This window comes from Homo sapiens, chromosome 14, assembly GCF_000001405.40.
Source record: "Homo sapiens chromosome 14, GRCh38.p14 Primary Assembly".
Taxonomy (NCBI): Eukaryota; Metazoa; Chordata; class Mammalia; order Primates; family Hominidae; genus Homo; species Homo sapiens.
This window is the reverse complement of record NC_000014.9, coordinates 34,704,705-34,723,921: the sequence shown is the minus strand read 5'-3', so window position 1 is coordinate 34,723,921 and position 19,217 is coordinate 34,704,705. Positions and strand designations below refer to the sequence as shown.

At 41.5% G+C, this 19,217-nt stretch overlaps 1 protein-coding gene across 5 annotated transcripts, besides 3 other annotated features; it reads left to right on the top strand.

Annotated features, from left to right (window-relative positions):
- Nucleotides 625-919: a silencer, noted in NCBI's record as "tiled region #5589; HepG2 Repressive DNase unmatched - State 4:PromP". NCBI's record gives its function as "represses a minimal TATA promoter and a strong SV40 promoter by Sharpr-MPRA in HepG2 cells {active_cell/tissue: HepG2}" and the evidence as "EXISTENCE:reporter gene assay evidence [ECO:0000049][PMID:27701403]".
- Nucleotides 8,893-9,482: a silencer, noted in NCBI's record as "silent region_5668". NCBI's record gives its function as "represses an Ori minimal core promoter by ATAC-STARR-seq in GM12878 lymphoblastoid cells {active_cell/tissue: GM12878}" and the evidence as "EXISTENCE:reporter gene assay evidence [ECO:0000049][PMID:35858748]".
- Nucleotides 9,329-14,809, top strand: CFL2 (cofilin 2). Of its 5 annotated transcripts, none has more exons than NR_028131.2 (4): nucleotides 9,329-9,384; nucleotides 10,361-10,414; nucleotides 10,786-10,862; nucleotides 10,945-14,809. NR_028131.2 is itself a non-coding variant. In NM_138638.5 (4 exons), exons 1-4 carry the CDS (start codon nucleotides 9,382-9,384, stop codon nucleotides 11,055-11,057), a joined length of 501 nt encoding a protein of 166 aa, NP_619579.1. In that variant the 5' UTR covers nucleotides 9,329-9,381; the 3' UTR covers nucleotides 11,058-14,809. The 5 variants fall into 5 exon arrangements, 3 of the variants coding, with proteins under 3 accessions (NP_619579.1, NP_001230574.1, NP_068733.1); NR_028130.2 differs by having other exon boundaries at nucleotides 10,361-10,525; NM_138638.5 differs by having other exon boundaries at nucleotides 10,361-10,668.
- Nucleotides 9,573-9,632: a silencer, noted in NCBI's record as "silent region_5667". NCBI's record gives its function as "represses an Ori minimal core promoter by ATAC-STARR-seq in GM12878 lymphoblastoid cells {active_cell/tissue: GM12878}" and the evidence as "EXISTENCE:reporter gene assay evidence [ECO:0000049][PMID:35858748]".

The window sequence follows — 19,217 nt, the reverse complement described above, 5'->3', positions numbered from 1 at the left end:
TTTTACTAGAAAATATTAAAGCCTCCACAGCACTCTCCTGTTTTAAAAACCCTTCCAGGCCAGGCATGGCATGGTGGCTTACGCCTGTAATCCCAGTACTCTGGGAGGCGAGGCAGGCAGATCACTGAGTCCAGGAGTTGGAGACCAGCCTGGGCAACATAGCGAAACCCTGTTTCTACTAAAAATACAAAAATTAGCTGGGCATGGTGGCGCTCGCCTGTAATTCCAGCTACTCACGAGACTGAGGTGGGAGGATGGCGTGAACCCAGGAGGAAGAGGTTGCATGCAGTGAGCCAAGATCACACAACTGCACTCCAGCCTGGGTGACAGAGTGAGACCCTGTCAAATAAATAAAACATACATACATATATACCTTTCCAGAACGTCCTGTAACCCTTGGAACAAAACCCCAAAATCCTTAACAGTAAAGACTCCCACATTTTCTTGGCTCAAGGTGGCCTTAATGTCTCAGCAGTTTTTTTCAAGTTCCACTCAGGCCAAAAGAAATAACTAACATTTTGGTCTAATAAGTAGTTAGATCCAAACAATAAATATTCATGTCCTAACAACTTAGCATCTACTGGGCACTGCATAACTTTTCAAACCTTAGAACTGTATTGGGCACAGCCATCCACATCTCGTGCTCCACACCGATTTTCCCTTAGGTCTTGCTTTTTATCACAGCAAGGAGGGAAAAACACATCCAAAGGAACGTAGCTGGATTTAAAGTGGAAAATAGCTCGAGGTAGTAGTTCCTGTGATGTTCGACAGATGTCGCTGTGTTTCCCTCAAATTTTAAAAATATCCAAGGCATCCTGGTGAGTTTGCTGGTGCACCCCAGGGAGCCTCAAAACACAGTTCGGGACATGGTTTATATGGCCTTGTATTAACTGGCCCCTGACCGTTTCTTCAGCCTTATCTGCCACTGTTCTCCCTGCTCACTACACTACAGTTCTACTGGCCTTTTATTTTCCCAAAAGAGCCAAGCTCCTTCTTAGTCTTTTTTTCATGCTTTGCCTTCATGTGGAGGACTTTTCAACTGGAGAAGCCTTCTTTATTTCTCCTAGTTTATATCAGGGACCCTTGTTATTCTCTCACTAGCCTACAGGCTCCACGAAGGCAGGGACCATGTCTGTTTTCTACATCATCTTACACCCAGTGTCTAGCACAGTCCTTGGCACATAGTAGAAACTCAAGTGGTTTAAAAACATATGTTTCTGGCCAGGCGCAGTGGCTCCTGCCTGTAATCCCAGCACTTTGGGAGGCCGAGGCGGGTGGATCACCTGAGGTCCGCAGTTCAAGACCAGCCTGGCCAACATAGTGAAACCCCGTCTCTACTAAAAATCCAAAATATCAGCTGGGAGTGGTGGTATGCACCTATAATCCCAGCTTCTTGGGAGGTTGTGCCAGGAGAATCGCTTGAACCCAGGAGACAGAGGTTGGAGTGAGCCAAGATCATGCCGCTGCACTCCAGCCTGAGCAACAGTGCGAGACTCCATCTCCAAAAAAAAAAACAAAATAAATTAATTAAAATATGTTTCTATTGACATTCATTAATAAGTTAATCTTCAGATGCACAAGTAATCCAGTTGTGAAATACAAGAGAAATTCCTTTCTTGTTAGCACTTCAGTTCATCAGTAAGCAATTATAAATCTAAAAATTGATGACATCTTAGAATGTGATTGCTAGCATACTTATAATGACATTTTAAAAAACAAATTAGAGGCCAGGCGCAGTGACTCATGCTTGTAATCCCAACACTAAAGGGGGCCGAGGTGCGTGGATCACTTGAGGCCAGGAGTTCGAGACCAGCCTGGCCAACATGGTGAAACCCCATCTCAACTAAAAATACTAAAAATATAAAAATTAGCTGGATGCGGTGGCACGTGCCTGTAGTCCCAGCTACTCGGGAGGCTGACGCAGGAGAATCACTTGAACCCAGGTGGTAGAGGTTGCAGTGAGCCGAGATCCCACCACTGCACTCCAACCTGGGCAACAGAGTGAGACTCCTTCTTAAAAAAAAAAAAAAAAAATTAGATAAAAAACAGTCTTTTCAATAAATGGTGCTAGAACAACTGGACCATATGCAAAAGAATGAAGTTGGCCCACTACCTGACCATATTAAAAAATTAATGCAAAATAGACTATAGACTTAAAACTATAAAACTCTTAATATGTGAGTAAATTTTTATAACCTTAGATTAGGCAATGATTTCTTTGATGTAACACCAAAAGCACAAGCAACAGAAGAAAAATTAGATAAACTCCATCAAAATTTAAAACTTTTTAGTTTCAAAGGACACCATTAAGAAAGTGAAAAGACAGCCCACAAAATGGAAAAATTTTTTGCAAATTATATATCCAGTAAGGGACTTGTATCCAGCATATATGATGAACTCTTACAAATGAATAAAAAGACAAATAACTCAATTTAGAAATGGAGCAAAGAGGAATTTCTCCAAAGAAGATACAAGAAGCACATGAAAAGATGCTCAGCATCATTAGACATCAGGGAAATGCAAATCAAAACCACCATGAGATACCACTTCACAGCCATTAGGACGGCTAAAATAAAAAAGACAGACAATAACAAGTGTTGTCAAGGATGTGGAGAAATTGAAATCCTCATACATTGGGATTATAAAACGTATGAATGGGATTATAAAATGTATGAATGGGATTATAAAATGGGGCAGCCACTTTGGAAAACAGTTTGAGACCTCTCCAAAATGTTAAACATAAAGTTACCATATGACCCAGCAGGTATATACCCAAAAGAAATGAAAATATATGTTCACACAAAAATTTGTACATGAATGTTCATGGCAGCATTATTCATAATAGCCAAAAAGTACAAAAAACTGAAATGCCCATCAACTGATGAACAGATAAAGGAAGTGCGGTATTTCTAGGCAACAGAATGTGATTTGATTATAAAAATGAAGTAGTGATACATACTACAAACTGGACAAACCTTGAAAACATTAGGCTAAGTCAGAGAAGCCACTCACAAAGATCACATATTACAAAATTCCACTCATATAAAATGTCCAGAACAGGGAAATCTGCAAAGATAGTAGACTAATGGTTGCCAGAAGCTCAGAAGAAGACAGAATGTAAAGTGACTGCTAATAGGTATGGGGTTTTCTTTTTGGGGGTGATAAAAAGGTTCAAAATTAGATAGTTGTGATGGTTGCACAACTAAATATACTGAAAAACATGGAATGGTACACTTAAAAGGGCAAATTTCTTGGTCTGTGAATATCTCAATATACCTATTATTTTAAAAACATTTGAAAAATTATGTCTCCTTCATCATCTGCAGAATAAAGTTCTGACTGTGAGATTGTCTATAAAGCTCATAAGATCTGATGCTTCCTACCACTCCGTTATTCCCTCCAAACCCAGAGGCTCCAACAAACTACTTGGGGTTTCTTCTGCTTCACTCATGCACTGTAGCTTTGTACATCACTCGTGCACTGTAGCTTTGTACATTTGGTTCTCTTTGCTTTGAGTACCCTTCCTTCATCTGCCTAGTAAATGCCCACTTGTTCCTTAAGACCCAACTCACTCCATACTGCACTGGTGGCCCTCTTTGGTGCTCACAAGACATCCTGTGTATATGCCATTGTAGCATGCATGGGATTGTTTCATAAAGGTCAGCTTCCTTGCTGTGCTCCCACAGGACTGACTTTCTTCAAGGCAGGGACTATGTTATGTTTATCTTTGCATTCCCAACACCCAGCAGAGGTGCTCAATAAATGAAATAAAGGAATTAATGGATGGAATGAATAAACTCTCCATGCATGTATTCATTTTATGATCTCTCTCCAACTCTTATTCATGTCTCTTAACATATAGTTTTTATATGTTACATTTTTCATGTCTGTATGATTAGCCTATGGTTTTAAAATCTACAGCTTTTGGCTAGGTGTAGTGGCTCATGCCTGTAATCCAAGCACTTGGGGAGGCTGAGGCAGGAGGATCTGTTGAGCCCAGGAGTTCAAGACCAGCCTAGGCAACATAGGGAGACTTCATCTCTACAAAAAATATGAAAATTAGCTGGGCGTAGTAGCACATGCCTGTAGTCCCAGCTACTCAGGAGACTGAGGTGGGAGCATCACCTAAGCCCAGGGAGGTCAAGCCTGCAGTGAGCCATGATCGTGCCACTGCACTCCAGCCTGGATGATGGTGAGACCCTGTCTCAAATAAATAAATAAGTAAATTTAAAAAATAAAAACAAAAATAAAATCTACTGTGTTTTGTTTTGTTTTGTTTTTTTAAGAAAGTCTCACTCTGTCGCCCAGGCTGGAGTGCAGTGGCTCAGTCTCAGCTCACTGTAGCCTCCACCTCCTGGGTTCAAGCCATCCTCCTGCCTCAGCCCTCCCAAGTAGCTGGAACTATAGGCATGTGCCACTACACCCGCCTGATTTTTTTTATTTTTTGTAGAGATGGGGTCTCACCGTGTTGCCCAGGCTGGTCTTGAACTCCTGAGCTCAAGCAATCCACCCACCTTGGTCTCCCAAAGTGCTAGGATAACAGGCATGAGCCATCACGCCCGGCCAAAATCTACTGCTTTTGTAATAAAGTAAGTTAAACAAAGGAGTGTTTAATAAATTACTAGCAAGTTTCTTTTCTCAGATGACGTTTTATATGGTTTGTATAATTTAGGTAACCAGTTGCTATTTACTATCACAATTCAATTACTATCAATGCATTATTAATTAACATTGTGATTGAGGTTTTACAAATAACTGGCGGGTGAATCTGATAAATTGTGTCTGAGTTAATAAGTTGAAGCTGGTATGTTTTACACCATTGAAGTTGGTAATTATAGTTTGAGACCATTTTGAACTACATTTCACTAATTATTGCATTTCAATACTGCTACCTCTTCATTACCACTTCATGTGACACAGATTACTGATAAATTCCTTTATTGTGAGGTCATTCTCCTAAATTAGAAAGAACCAGAGATGGCATATGTAAGACCCAAAGTGAGTTTGTGGATGAGAGTGAGTCACAGAGATCAGACTCCAAAAAAACACCTCCTACTGTATTTATTTTCTAGTTCTAAATTCAAACTTGGATTTAGAAAAATATACGACTTGACTCCTCATCAGTCTTTTTTTTTTTTTTTTTTGAGATGAGTCTCACTTGTCGCCCAGGCTGGAGTGCAGTGGTGCAATCTCGGCTCACTGCAAGCTCCACCTCCCGGGTTCACGCCATTCTCCTGCCTCAGCCTCCTGAGTAGCTGGGACTACAGGCGCCCGCCACCACGCCCGGCTAACTTTTTGTATTTTTAGTAGAGACGGGGTTTCACCGTGTTAGCCAGGATGGTCTCGATCTCCTGACCTCATGATCCGCCCGCCTCAGCCTCCCAAAGTGCTGGGATTACAGGCGTGAGCCACTGCGCCCGGCCCCTCATCAGTCCTTTAGCTCAGGCGTGGGTTAGGAAGGATATGTCAGAGTTAGGAAGGCATGTCGGTAGAAAGGTACATTTTGAAGTGGTAGTGTCTTTATGCTTACATTTGTCTTTGTCAGGAAGTGGCTGTGGGAGCTGAGAATGTGATGTCTCTTGACAGGGAGTAGGGCTTACACACAGTTTGTCTGCATAATCTTCCAGATTCACTGTTTTAGATAGTTCTTTCAAACTTTTACATGCCACAGAACCTCCATCCACATTGTTTCTCAGGTGTGGTGGCTCATGCCTGTAATTCCAGCACTTTAGGAGGCCAAGGCGGGAGGACTGCTTGAGCCCAGAAGTTGAGACCAGCCTGGGCAACATAGTAAGACCCCCATCTCTGTAAGTGAGTAAGTAAATATATACATAATAGATTGTTTCTTGGGGGAATAGATTATATATATTAAGGGATGATCACCTTTCCAATTTTTTAAAGAATCCTGAGTAAACAAACTTTAGCTGAGTCTTCAGAATCAATGAGGATTGGGACGGCTTCACGCTATTGCCTATGAGTTGATAAAATCAGTGCCTTCATCTTCACTCTGCTGGTGGTAATAACAGCTCCAGGGTTCCTATTTCTGTGCTGGACAAGGGCTTTACATACATTATCTCTCTTGATCCTCCCCATAATCCTGAGAGGGAAGAGGTCATATAATCCCTATTTTACACATGATTTGGAAACTGAGCCTTATGGCAGCTAAATCAATGGCCTGAAATTGCACCGCTACTAGTGTCTGAGCTGAGATTACATTCAGAGGTTACTCTCACTAAGTTCCTAATAGTTGTCACTGCCATCTATGTGTGGTCTAGTAAATGGATAATTATAGCTTAGATGTTTACAGCACAAAAGTATCTAGTACCACATTGTTCGGGGTCCCTCTGTCACACCTATTAATTGTTTGCTTGAGCTTGAAATTGCTCAGAACAGTTGTATGGTAGGCAGAATAATGCAACCCCTCCTCACAAAGGTGTTCCTGTCCTAACCTCCAAAGTCTTTGAATGTTAACTTGTACGAAAAAACAGACTTTGCAGATGTGATTAAGTTAAGGATCTTGAGAGGGGGAATTATCCTAAACTACCAAGTGGGGTCCAAAGTAACCATAATGGTCCTTATAAGTGGAAGACGGAGGCAGGAGAGAGAGAGTCAGAGGAAATGTGATGACTGAGGCAGAGGTCAGAGTGATGCGACTGCTGCCTGGGGCCACAGGCCAAAGATGATGGGCAGGTCGAGTGTGGTGGCTCGCACCTGTAATCCCAGCACTTTGGGAGGCCAAGGTGGGCGGATCACAAGGTCAGGAGATCAAGACCATCCTCGCTAACACGGTGAAACCCCATCTCTACTAAAAATACAAAAAATTAGCCGGGCATGGTGGCGGGTGCCTGTAGTCCCAGCTACTCAGGAGGCTAAGGCAGGAGAATGGTGTGAACCCAGGAGGCGGAGTTTGCAGTGAGCCGAGATAGCACCACTGCACTCCAGCCTGGGTGACAGAGTGAGACTCCATCTCAAAAAAAAAAAAAAAAAATGATGGGCAGCCTCTAGATGTTGGAAAAGGCAAAGGAGTCTCCCACTACAGTCTCTTGACTTTAGCCCCATCAGGCTTATTTCTGCTAGTTGTGGTGGTTCATGCCTGTAATCCCAACTACTCGGGAGGCTGAGGCAGGAGGCTCACTTGAGGCCAGGAGTATGAGGCTGCAGTGAGCTATGATCACATCCTGCACTCCAGCAACCTGGGTGGGCAACAGAACCAGAGACTATCTCTTAAATATATATATATAGAGAGAGAGACTTGTTTCTCTGACTCTGTAAGACCATAAATAATAAATTTGTGTTGTTTTAAACAAGTAATTTTATGGTAATTTGTTATAGCAACAGTCGAACGCTAATACATGTGGTATCTGACACTCAGATCCCCCTCCACTACACAGTGACCAAAATTCATGCAGCAATGATTGGCAATGCTGCCCCTTTACCAAGTGGTGGTAAGTTCTGGTTATAACTCACAGAGGTGAAGGCAGGAAGCTGCTACTGGCCCTGACATTCTCAGTGCCATGCTCACAAGGGCATGTAGAAAGGCTTCACAATTTTCAGAAGCTTCCTTTTCATTCTCTTTACAGCACTAAAGCATCTTAAATGTATTATTTCAGCACCTATTAAGCACCTACTATCTGTCAGGTTCCAGAAATTCAAAGATAACCAGGACTCAGATCCTTAAGGAGCTTACAGCGCAGTAGGGTGGCAGAAGACATAAACAAGTTATTATAATGTAACAAAATATATGCAAGACAAAAATAACTTCAGGAAAAGAATCTTAGAACATGTGAATTACCATCTCTGTTTGGGGAGGGTAAGAGAGAATGGGAGGCATGGAAAGGGGTTGGAGTCCGAGCTAGGGGGTGACTAGCATCTTTGGAATCCCCAGCTTTGGTGGGTAAGGTTCTGACACCCACTTTAGGCCCCAGTGTCATCAGACCTGGTCTCTGCTGGGGCTGCTGCAAATCTCTGAGGTTGGGAAGGGAAGGTAACCGCAAGATGAAGCGAACAGGAATTTGCTAATACCTACACATAGCAGATGATCAGAGCTCTGGAGAGACATTCTCCATGACTTCTTGGAAGTTCAACAGATAAAGTGAAAGGTTCCATAAATTGTAATGTACCAGCTAGATATAAAGTATTATCCACTTGCTTGGGATTCATGCTTAGACATTGGGAAATCCCTTCTCAATTTTTGTCTCTAAACGAAGTCTATCTTCCAATTAAGAAAACAAACCCAAGATATAGACAGAAAAATAGGTCTGTTTCAATGCCTAGCATGTTCCATTTAAAATACAGTAAATTTGGGCTGAAAGAACTTATCACGCAATCTAGGGCAAACACCATCTCATGACTTTCCTGCCTAACCTCAATCCTGAGACCACCAAAAACACACCATTTCCTACTGAACATTGATATACTCAGAAACTGAAATCTAAAGCTGGAAAGGGCCTTAACGATAATTTAATAACAGTTTGTTTTACACATGAAGAACCCTGAGGTATGGAGGAGTTAAGATTAAAAAAAGAGAAACTGCCTTGGCGCAGTTATATGGGCTTTGCTAGAAGAGGCTGCGTCGGCTTATTTGATATCAGCTGTCATAGCTGGAGCTTCATGAAATCTCTAAGAGAGAGTACAATCCATTTCCTATGAAGTCTAAAATGTAAAAGGATATTACTAAGGAATGCTACCACGTAATTTTTTAATCATAATTATTATTTCAACCAGAGTTTTGAAAAGTGATTTACCAACACTGCGTATCATTTTGTTTTTGCTAAGTACTATCAACTGGAGCAATCTCGTGTAGTATTTATTCTCATTTATCTCTAAACAACTGGGGGTTTTCCAAAAAGACTCAAAATGTCGAAATCCAGCCTCTTTCGGGAAAACCACAGGTAAATAAGGAAAGACACCTTCGCAGGAGTTCCCCTCACACGCACCCACCCCTGGCGCAGGGCCCTACGGAGGCGGTGGAAACGCCCCTCTGGGAGCCCAGCACTCTCTCCCACCGGCTTGACGGGTGATGCTCGGGGGCTGGAGGCGGCTCTGCCAGGCTCCCGGGCTCCGCTACCACCGCGTCGCCCCCCCCGGCCTGCAGGGCTCGCGCTCTGAGGTCAGGCCGAGGACGCGGACAGCCGGGGAGCCGGGGCCGCGAGACAGAAGGGCCGGCCTGGGAGCGGGTGGCGCCGGCTGGGGACCAGGCGTGCCCACGTGACCGCCCCGCCCGCTGCCTGCGGCCCGCCGAGCCCCGCCACCTCCCTCGGGCTGCAGCTCCCGGCGTGCCCCGCACTCTCCGCTGCCCACCCGCTCGCCCGCCCCTCCTTCTCCTCCCAGTGCCACAGAGCCGAAGCCCGAGCTGCCGCCGCAGCCACAGCCGAGGGCACTATGGTAAGACGAGCGCGCTGGCCGGGAGGCCGCGGCGAGGCGAGAAAAGCCCCCCGCACGGCCCCGGGAGTGAGGCCGCCATTTTAACCTGATTTTGGCCTCCAAGGTGGGCGCTTCTGCTCTGCGGCTCCGCTGCTCTCCAGCCGACCGGCCTGCCCTCCGGCCGTCAGGCCCTGCCCTGCTGCTCTTTGGATTTTGGGGGGCGGGGAGGGCCCGGGCGTCGGCGCAGGTTGGGGGTCGGGGCCGGGCGGGCGGGGGCGCGAGAGGGTCTGCGGACTGCAGCCGCTCGCGCCGCCTTTGCCCTTCGCTTCCTAATTTTACTTAACACGCGAGGCTTTAAAATTGGTACGTGCTGCGAACGCTGTGTGGGTCAGGGTCTGGACGGCCTGTAATAAAACCCTTACGGGGAGATTAAGGAAGAGGGAAAACACTTTTTAAAATGCTTTCTCGCCGTAAAAGCTTTTACACTCGATCAGTTAGTTTTGGAGTGTCTGCATGTGAGCTGTGTGTGGGCCGTGGGCGGTTTGGAGTTTACACTTGATTCTCTTTCCTTATGAGGAAACGTCAGTGGCTAGGATGACTTTAAAGAAAAAAATAGTAGAAGCATTAACTGAAATCCAAAAGTGTTTTTTTAAGGCCAGCCGAGTTGACACAATACAGAAGGTATTTTTGCTGCCACTCCTGAAGCTCTGACATCACCCAGTGAAATAGGAAACATTTCAGGGATGGGACAACTTGTATTTGTCCCTTTCGCTTCCACGTCCAAACCCCTTTAAGAAGGATGAATGGGCAGGATGAGTTAGACTCCTTCGCTGTATCGTCTACTGATTCTTAAAATGTGACAAATCTGATTGGACGACTTACATGGTACGGTGCAATTTTTGATGTCCAGACTAAAGTGAGTCTTCTCTAGGCAAACAGTAATTTTGGTTAAAACCAAAATACGTGTTCTGAATTACTGTTCTGTGTTTATTTTCAGGCTTCTGGAGTTACAGTGAATGATGAAGTCATCAAAGTTTTTAATGATATGAAAGTAAGGAAATCTTCTACACAAGAGGAGATCAAAAAGAGAAAGAAAGCAGTTCTCTTCTGTTTAAGCGATGACAAAAGACAAATAATTGTAGAGGAAGCAAAGCAGATCTTGGTGGGTGACATTGGTGATACTGTAGAGGACCCCTACACATCTTTTGTGAAGTTGCTACCTCTGAATGATTGCCGATATGCTTTGTACGATGCCACATACGAAACAAAAGAGTCTAAGAAAGAAGACCTAGTATTTATATTCTGGTGTGTAAAAACAAAAGAAAAAAGTACTTTTAAAATGCAAGGATTATTATTATCATAGTCAGTCTTACCTTTGTTTTTCTTATAAATGGGATTCAATAATTTTTTTTTTTTCTGTAGGGCTCCTGAAAGTGCACCTTTAAAAAGCAAGATGATTTATGCTAGCTCTAAAGATGCCATTAAAAAGAAATTTACAGGTACAAACTTGAATATTTGGGGCAGAGAAATTATTCTTTATTAATTATAATAAAGTAATAGGATAATGTTTTTTCTTTTTAGGTATTAAACATGAGTGGCAAGTAAATGGCTTGGATGATATTAAGGACCGTTCGACACTTGGAGAGAAATTGGGAGGCAATGTAGTAGTTTCACTTGAAGGAAAACCATTATAAAATGACAGTCAAGTGCCATCTGGATCTTAAGGAGCTTCCATTTCTCCAGCTCAGTCCATTGGAATAGTATTAGGTTTTGGTTTTTTGTTGTATTTCCCCCTTTCCACTGGGCCCTTCCAACACAATGAATGAAGGAAATATCATTTATTTAAGCAGCCTATCAGTGATTGCCATTAGACTGTTGAATACTGTTACTTTTATATAGAACCCAAGGAATGCCTTCCTGTCATATTTTAGCCAAAACAACTGGTTATATGCCTCCCTTGCAGCAAGCACTACAATGTATGTGATCGTCAATGTGAATAGCTTAGAATACTGCAAAGGATAAGCTAATTGAATGCCTTGAAAGTATTATCCACTGGTCAGATGGTCAACTTTTTTCAGTATTATTTATAGTTGGCACTTGATTGCAGTTCTGTGAGGCTTGAGCATTCATACACCTCACCTGCCTTGGCAAGCCTATTTTAGTGATATGGCAGCACGGATATAACACTATGCATTAAAAGCACTTTTTGTAATAAGTTTAATATCCTAAAAGGAATGCCAATTAAGTTTTGTTAACTGTGTCATCAACTTATCCTAGTACCTCAGTGTTCATTCCTGTTACCTGCATATCTTCTTAAAAGAAATAGCTGTTATTAATGCCTTTTTGTTTTCCATTGAGTGTACACTACTGAATAAGTGTAGGAGTTTTATGTTTACCATGTGAGTCCTGCAACACTAAAGATATTTTGAATATCAGTCATGATGGCAATTTCTGTATAAAAGAGCCTTAAATGGAACATTGTTTTGAGATCAAACTCCCCACCCTCACAAAAATGGCCACGTTGCAATAAAAATTGTGGCATATTACAGAACGTTGCCTTGTTTTCCTTGGAAATTTTGCAAAATGTTATGTGAAACAACTTCTAGGGTAAAAACAGCTATTACTAATCTCTGCACTGGTCATTTGAGAATTTTTTTTGTACAGCATTCATGTGTGATATTTTCCAGATTTGTTGGATCTATTTGGTTTAAAAAGTATTCTATCTTAAGGCCAACTAATATAAAATACCATTGTTAAAGAATGGTACTTTTATAAACATTAGTGTATTTATTTCCTATGTGTTAATATGAAGATCAGAAATTATTTTTTGCACTTTGGCATAAATACTTTTCAATATCTGATTTGTTCTCTGGATAAATTAGCATAGTTATTTTTTTATTCACATTTACATTTCTAAGTAGTTGTATAGTAGAAGCAGGAAGCTCTTATTGCTTATTTGGTCGTAATGAAAATAATTTGTAAAATGTCCTTTAAAAGTTTAATGATACTTCTGATGTTTCGGAACAGTCATTTCACCTACTATTTCTGAATATATTTTGCAAATTGAATTGGAATAGGAATTGATAATAGCAGTCTTAAACATTAGTAGTGGGATTTGGCTATGGTCCAGACTGTGCTCCTTATAGAGAATTTGATCTGCTCAGTGTGAGCGGTTTGCTGTTAGCCAGGGCTATTTATGGCAAACACATGCTTTTGTATCTTGTCATAGTTATCCACAAATGGCAAAACTGGACTTGATTCTACTGGTATGCAAAACAGGCATGCTAGTAAGCAGTCAGTCGTGGCTCAGAACTTAACCCCATAGCTCAGAGGAATGCTTTTAGCAGAAAACAGGAAAGAAAATATCCCTTAAAAATTTTTTTTGAATGTGTGGAAGTAATTTTAGTATAATTAGATTTTTTCCATATTTTTGAAAGATTTTTCAGATGTGAACATTAAAAATAGGGATTAAATGTCTAGGCTTCCATTTAAAATTATATGAATGGTTTGGGATCTTTTTGCACTGAGCAATTTTATTTCAGGCTTCCAGCTGTCCCTGTGAGTTATCCTGGACATTTCGATGGTTTTTGGTAAGGCCAAACTCTGATAAGCAAAACAGAGAATACTGACGTATACTTAACCATATGTGTAACTGATACTTGGCACCATGGAATTTTTCATTGAGTTATTTCCTCATTCTTTTAAAAAATAAGGGACTATAAATCAGTTATGTAGTATCTTTTGTTTTTGTAGCTGATTCCTTAACTTTCTTGTATGCCTCTAGTAATTTCAGAGATTAAATATTGCTTTAAACTGTGATACTTTGATTTGCTAGATTGACAAAACTGATACTAATATAATTAAGTTCATCTTTGAAATACATCTTTGTGCGTAGAGCCAAAAAAAGAGATAAAATTAATAATAGTTCACTTGTTATTTGAGATTAATTTGGCATTTGAAATGATCATTTTATTTTACAATCATTTATAATGAATCAATGTTCCAGTTAGCTTTAAAAGGTATACGGTGCTAATTAGTAAAATATTGAAGGCAATATTTTACTGCTAGCTTGCAAAGTTATGAGAGTTTAAAAAATAAAATATATGAAAATATGTAAAGCTGTTGAGATGTGTTTACTTATACTTCAGAACATTAAAAGTTTAAAAACTGGTATTTCAGATCAAAGAGGCATCATTATCTTTATTCTGTTTTTCAGGATTTTAGTTGGTAATACTTTCTCATTTATCAATAACAATTTTCTTTAAAAACTGAGTGTTACAGCAATTAATTTTAGCATTTTCAGACAAATGGGAACAGTTGGCATGTGTCCCAAACTGGCTATCAGCTGTTGTTTTCCATCATTATCTAAAATAGTGTGGCCAGCATTGTGTATTGAAATGTGCCTTTTTCGTACATTGGAAGAGAAGCCTCTTACTGGGTTTGAGTTTCTCTGATACAGAACATTTGTAGCAGCTAATTTATGGAATCTGGCAAATAAGCTTTGGGAGGAAATTCTTTTAAAAGTGTTTTCTTGTTAAGGAATAATCTCAACAATGGTAAATCATCAAGAGGTTGAGAAGACTCTTAGGTTTGCCACTCAGAAAAAACAGTCTCATTTTGCTCTTCATAGGTCCTGTTTTTGCTTGCACATTTAATAGTAGGTGGAGATGCAAAACAACGTGAATGTTCATTTTTTTATGAATAGTATTAAAGCTACTAGAGGTGGGCAGGCAGGTCCCAGTAAATGTTGCCTTTTTTTTTTTTTTTTTTTGAGACAGGGTCTCACTCTGTTGCCCAGGCTGGAGTGCAGTGTCAAAATTTCAGCTCACTTCAAACTCAACCTTCCCAGCTCAGATGATCCTCCCACCTCAGCCTCCCAAGTAGCTGGGACTACAGGCATGCACCACCATGCCTAATTTTTTTTTTTTTTTTTTTTGTATCTCTTTTGTAGAGACTGAGTTTGGCCATGTTGCCTAGGCTGATCTCCAACTCCTGGGCTCAAGCTGTCCTCTGACCTCCGCCTCCCAAAAGTGCTAGGATTGCATGCATGAGCCACCACTTCAAAAGCTCAAATACTGCTTTTGAAGACAGCATGAGTTTATGGATGTTCTGTCTCCTTTCAGCCCATAAAGAAGTCTGAGGCTTTTCTTTTGCTCTGGAACATCCAACTAATTGCTTTATTTCCATGTAGAAGTAGAGGAATCATCCCTCCACTTAAATTTCCTCTCATAATGCAATTTGGCAAATTAAATCTCTAAATCTCAGTTTTTTAACCCATAGTATGGGAACGGTAATATCTGTTTACCATGTTTCCTGAGTACTAAATATGGAAATGGTTTTTGAAAACAGGAAAATGCTATGTAAATGCAATAATCTGTTTAAACTATTCATTCTTAATTACTGTATGTAAGTAGATAAATATTAAATGTTTTTGTTAAAAGATGTATTACAGATCATTGAACCTCTATTTTTGTAACTTCCGTGTGTGTACATATATATATGTATATATATATGTATATATACACACATACACACACATTTTTTTCTTCTTTTTTGGACAGGGTTTCACTCTATTGCCCAGGCTGCTGTGCAGTGGCACAATCATAGCTCAATATAACCTTGAACTCCTGGGCTCAAGTGATCCTCCCACCTCAAGCTCCTGAGCAGCTGGGATTATAGACATACACCACCATGCCCAGCTAATTTTTTTTTTTTTTTTTTTTTTGAGACAAAGTCTCACTGTATCACCCACGCTGGAGGGCGGTGGTGTGATCTCGGCTCACTGCAACCTCTGCCTCCTGGGTTCAAGCAATTCTCCTGCCTCAGCCTCCCGAATAGCTGGGACTACAGGCATATGCCACCACACCTGGCTAATTTTTGTATTTTTAATACAGATGGGATTTCACCATGTTGGCCAGGCTGGTCTCAAACTCCTGACCTCAGGTGATCTGCCTGCCTCAGCCTCCCAAAGTGCTGGGATTACAGGCATGAGCCACCATGCCCGGCCTGCCCAGCTAATTTAAAAAAAAAAAAATTGTTGAGACGGGGTCTCACTGTGTTGTCTAGGCTAGTCTTGAATTCCTGGCCTTAAGCAATCCACCCATCTCAACTTCCCAAAGCACTGGGATTATAGGTGTGAACCACTGGGCTGAGCCTATTTAGTGTGTATATAGAGATGGGGTTTCAACATGTTGGCTAGGCTGGTCTTGAACTCCTGACCTTAGGAGATCCGCCCACCTTGGCTTCCCAAACTGCTGGGATTATGGGCTTGAGCCACTGCACTGGCCCTATTTAGTATATTTTTAAAGTAGCATCTTTCAAGAATATTTGAAAAACAATCCTAAGATTGTTTTCTAAAAAAGCTCATGCTCATAAAAATCTAAAAAGTTGTATATTTCAAAGATGTTCTGAAATATTTCAGTATTGTAAACTTATGGAATCTGTGCCAAACGAGGATTGTATAGACACAGAAAGCTGGTGTCTCTTAATCCTTTTCCAGAAACTTGGATATATCCCTCCCCTACCCATCTTTCTAAGAAGAGATAGTACTTTATGTTATAGTGGGTAAGTCCTAGGACTTTGGCATTAGATTGCTTGGTTGTTTACATAGAGCCCTTTAACACTTAGTAACTGGATAGTCTTAGACAAATCGTATAACCTCTTGGAAGCTTAGTTACTACATCTATAAAATGGGGATGATTGTACTCCGTCTCATAGGATTGTGAGCATAACTGAAAGCACTTGGAATAGTTCCTAGCACATAATAAGGGCTCAGTAGGATGATCCTATAAGATTTACAGGCCAAACCAGAACACTTTTTGAAAATGAAAGGGAGAGCTATTAATTATGCCAAGACAACAGGCTTGAGATAGGCCAATCCCAAGCAAACCAGGAGGTGTTGTCCAGAAGTATAGGCTAATATTAAAATGTAATACTTAAACAATGAACTGTATGAAAGACTCAAGATCATCATTTATTAATTTTAATTATATAATGTATTAGCATACTGACTTGAGGATCTCACGAAGTATATGAGTGGTCTTAAGTAAACCTCAGAGAGATCGAATTTGGCTTTTTAAGCCTTTTTAATAGCGTTCCTTCTGACTTTTTTTTTTTTTTGGAGATGGAGTCTTCCTCTGTCACCCAGGCTGGAGTGCAGTGACGCGATATTGGCTCGCTGCAAGCTCCACCTTCTGGGTTCACGCCATTCTCCTGCCTCAGTCTCCCGAGTAGCTGGGACTACAGGTGTCCGCCACCACGCCCGGCTAACTTTTTGTATTTTTAGTAGAGGTGGGGTTTCACCGTGTTAGCCAGGATGGTCTCCATCTCCTGACCTCATGATCCGCCCACCTTGGCCTCCCAAAGTGCTGGGATTACAAGCATGAGCCTCCTTTTGACTTTCATACTTGTAAACTGTCAGATATTATGTTTTGCTACTATCAGTATGCTTTGTCTATAGCAGCTTCTGCTAATAGTTGCTTTTCATCTCGTGGATTTGGAAAACCAGGTTTGTTATAATTATGTATAAGCAAATAAATAGGCCCAGAGTGAAGACTTGAGAGCAAAATGCCTGAACACATGCACCTTATTTTTGGGGGCTGTTTAAATAACTTTGTGATGTACTTTCAGGGTTTGGGTTGTTTTTTGTTTGTTTTAATAAAAGGTATGTAAAAGAGCTGAACTGTAAATAGGTATTACTGTATCTCAGGGAGGTGTCTGCAGTATTATTAGTATTTAAGGAAATCATACTTGCTGTTGACAGTACCTGTATCATTAAAGGCTCACAAAGAAATTTGTTCCTGTTTTTTTTTGTTGTTGTTTTTTTTTGAGACGGGAGTCTCGCTGTGTCACCCAGGCTGGAGTGCAATCTCACCTCACTGCAACCTCCACCTCCCAGGTTCAAGCGATTCTCCTGCCTCAGCCTCGTGAGTAGCTGAGTAGCTGGGATTACAGGTGCCCGCCACCACACCCAGCTAATTTTTGTATTTTTAATAGAGACAGGGTTTCACCGTGTTGGCCAAGCTGGTCTCGAACTCCTGACCTGAAGTGATCCACCTGCCTCAGCCTCCCAAAGTGATGGAATTACAGGTGTGACCCACTATGCCTGGCCAAGAGAAGGTTTATTGACCTATTTTTTTTTTTAGATTATTGAAACAAGTAATAAGTTATAAGAACAAGAATTTGATAAGCAAAGTACTCTTAAAAAATTAAATGCCAGCTGGGCATGGTGGCTAACACCTGTAATCCCAGCACTTTGGGAAGCCAAGGTGAATGGATTGCTTGAGTTCACAGTTCAAGAATAGCATAGGCAACATGGCAAAACCCCATTCTACAAAAAATACAGAAATTAGCTGGGTGAGGTGGCGCAGACCTATGGTCCCAGCTACTTGGGAGGCTAAGCCAGGAGGATCACTTGAGCCCAGGAGAGCCAGATTGTGCCATTGCACTCCAGCCTGGGTGACAGAGCAAGACCCTGTTTCAAAAAAAAAAAAAAAAATGCCAGTTGACTTTATTTTTTTCGTTTAGTTTATTAGATTTTCTTTTCCTTTCTTTTTTTTTGAGACAGTCTCGCCCTGTCGCCCAGGCTGGAGTGCAATAATGTGATCTTGGCTCACTGCAACCTCCACTTCCAGGTTCAAGCGTCTCTCATGCCTCAGCCTCTGGAGTAGCTGGGATTACAAGTGTGCGCCACCACGCCTGGCTAATTTTTGTATTTTTATTTATTAATTTTATTTATTTATTTTGAGACCGAGTCTTGCTCTATTGCCCAGGCTGGAGCGCAGTGGCGCGATCTCAGCTCACTGCAATCTCCGCCTCCCAGGTTCAAGCAATTCTCCTGCCTCAGCCTCCCACGTAGCTGGGATTACAGGAACCCACCACCATGCCCAGCTAATTTTTGTATTTTTAGTAGAGAAGGGGTTTCACCATGTTGGCCAAGCTGGTCTCGAACTCCTGACCTCAAATGATCCGCCCACCTCAGCCTCCCAAAGTGCTGGGATTACAGGCATGAGCCACCTCGCCCAGCCTAGATTTTCTTACATGTACTCTAGACATGTTCACCAGGAAGCAGCTTTGATTACCCTTTATCTAGACATTTTTCATTTACTCTTGACTTCTGACAGCTAATTTGATTATGCATACATAGCAATTTAGTAGTTTATCTGGCATTACAGAAAAATTTGAAACAGATTTTCATTCAAATGAGTAGTCATTTTTCCCTTACATGTGAAAAAGCACTTATGTTAATGGTATATTATTGGGGCACATTTTCTCTCATTTTATTCTTAATAGTGGAATTTCAAATATTTCCCTTGAAACTTGATAGTTACTGAGTGAATTACAAAATTCTTGGGTATGTAGCCCAAAGCCTCCTTAATATGTGTTCCTGTGAGCTGATGGGGACTTTATTTTTTTTTAATTACAAACTAAATCACCAGGCAAAGAGAAAGGCAGTTCTCAAATTGGCATAATTAGACCTAGTTTTACTTTTAATTTTTATTTTTTTAATTTTTATTTATTTATTTGAGACGGAGTTTCGCTCTTGTTGGTTGCCCAGGTGGGAGTGCAATGGCCCAATCTCGGCTCACTGCAACCTCTGCCTCCCAGGTTCAAGTGATTCTTCTGCCTCAGCCTCCCGAGTAGCTGGGATGACAGGTGCACGCCACCACTCCTGACCTTAGGTGATCCGCCCGCCTTGGCCTCCCAAAGTGCTGGGGTGACAGGCGTGAGCCACCATGCCCGGCCTAGACCTAATTTTATAAAAGGTAGAAATTGGGCCAGGCGTGGTGGCTCATGCCTGTAATTCCAGCTACTCAGGAGACAGGTATATCACCTGAGGTCAGGAGTTCGAGACC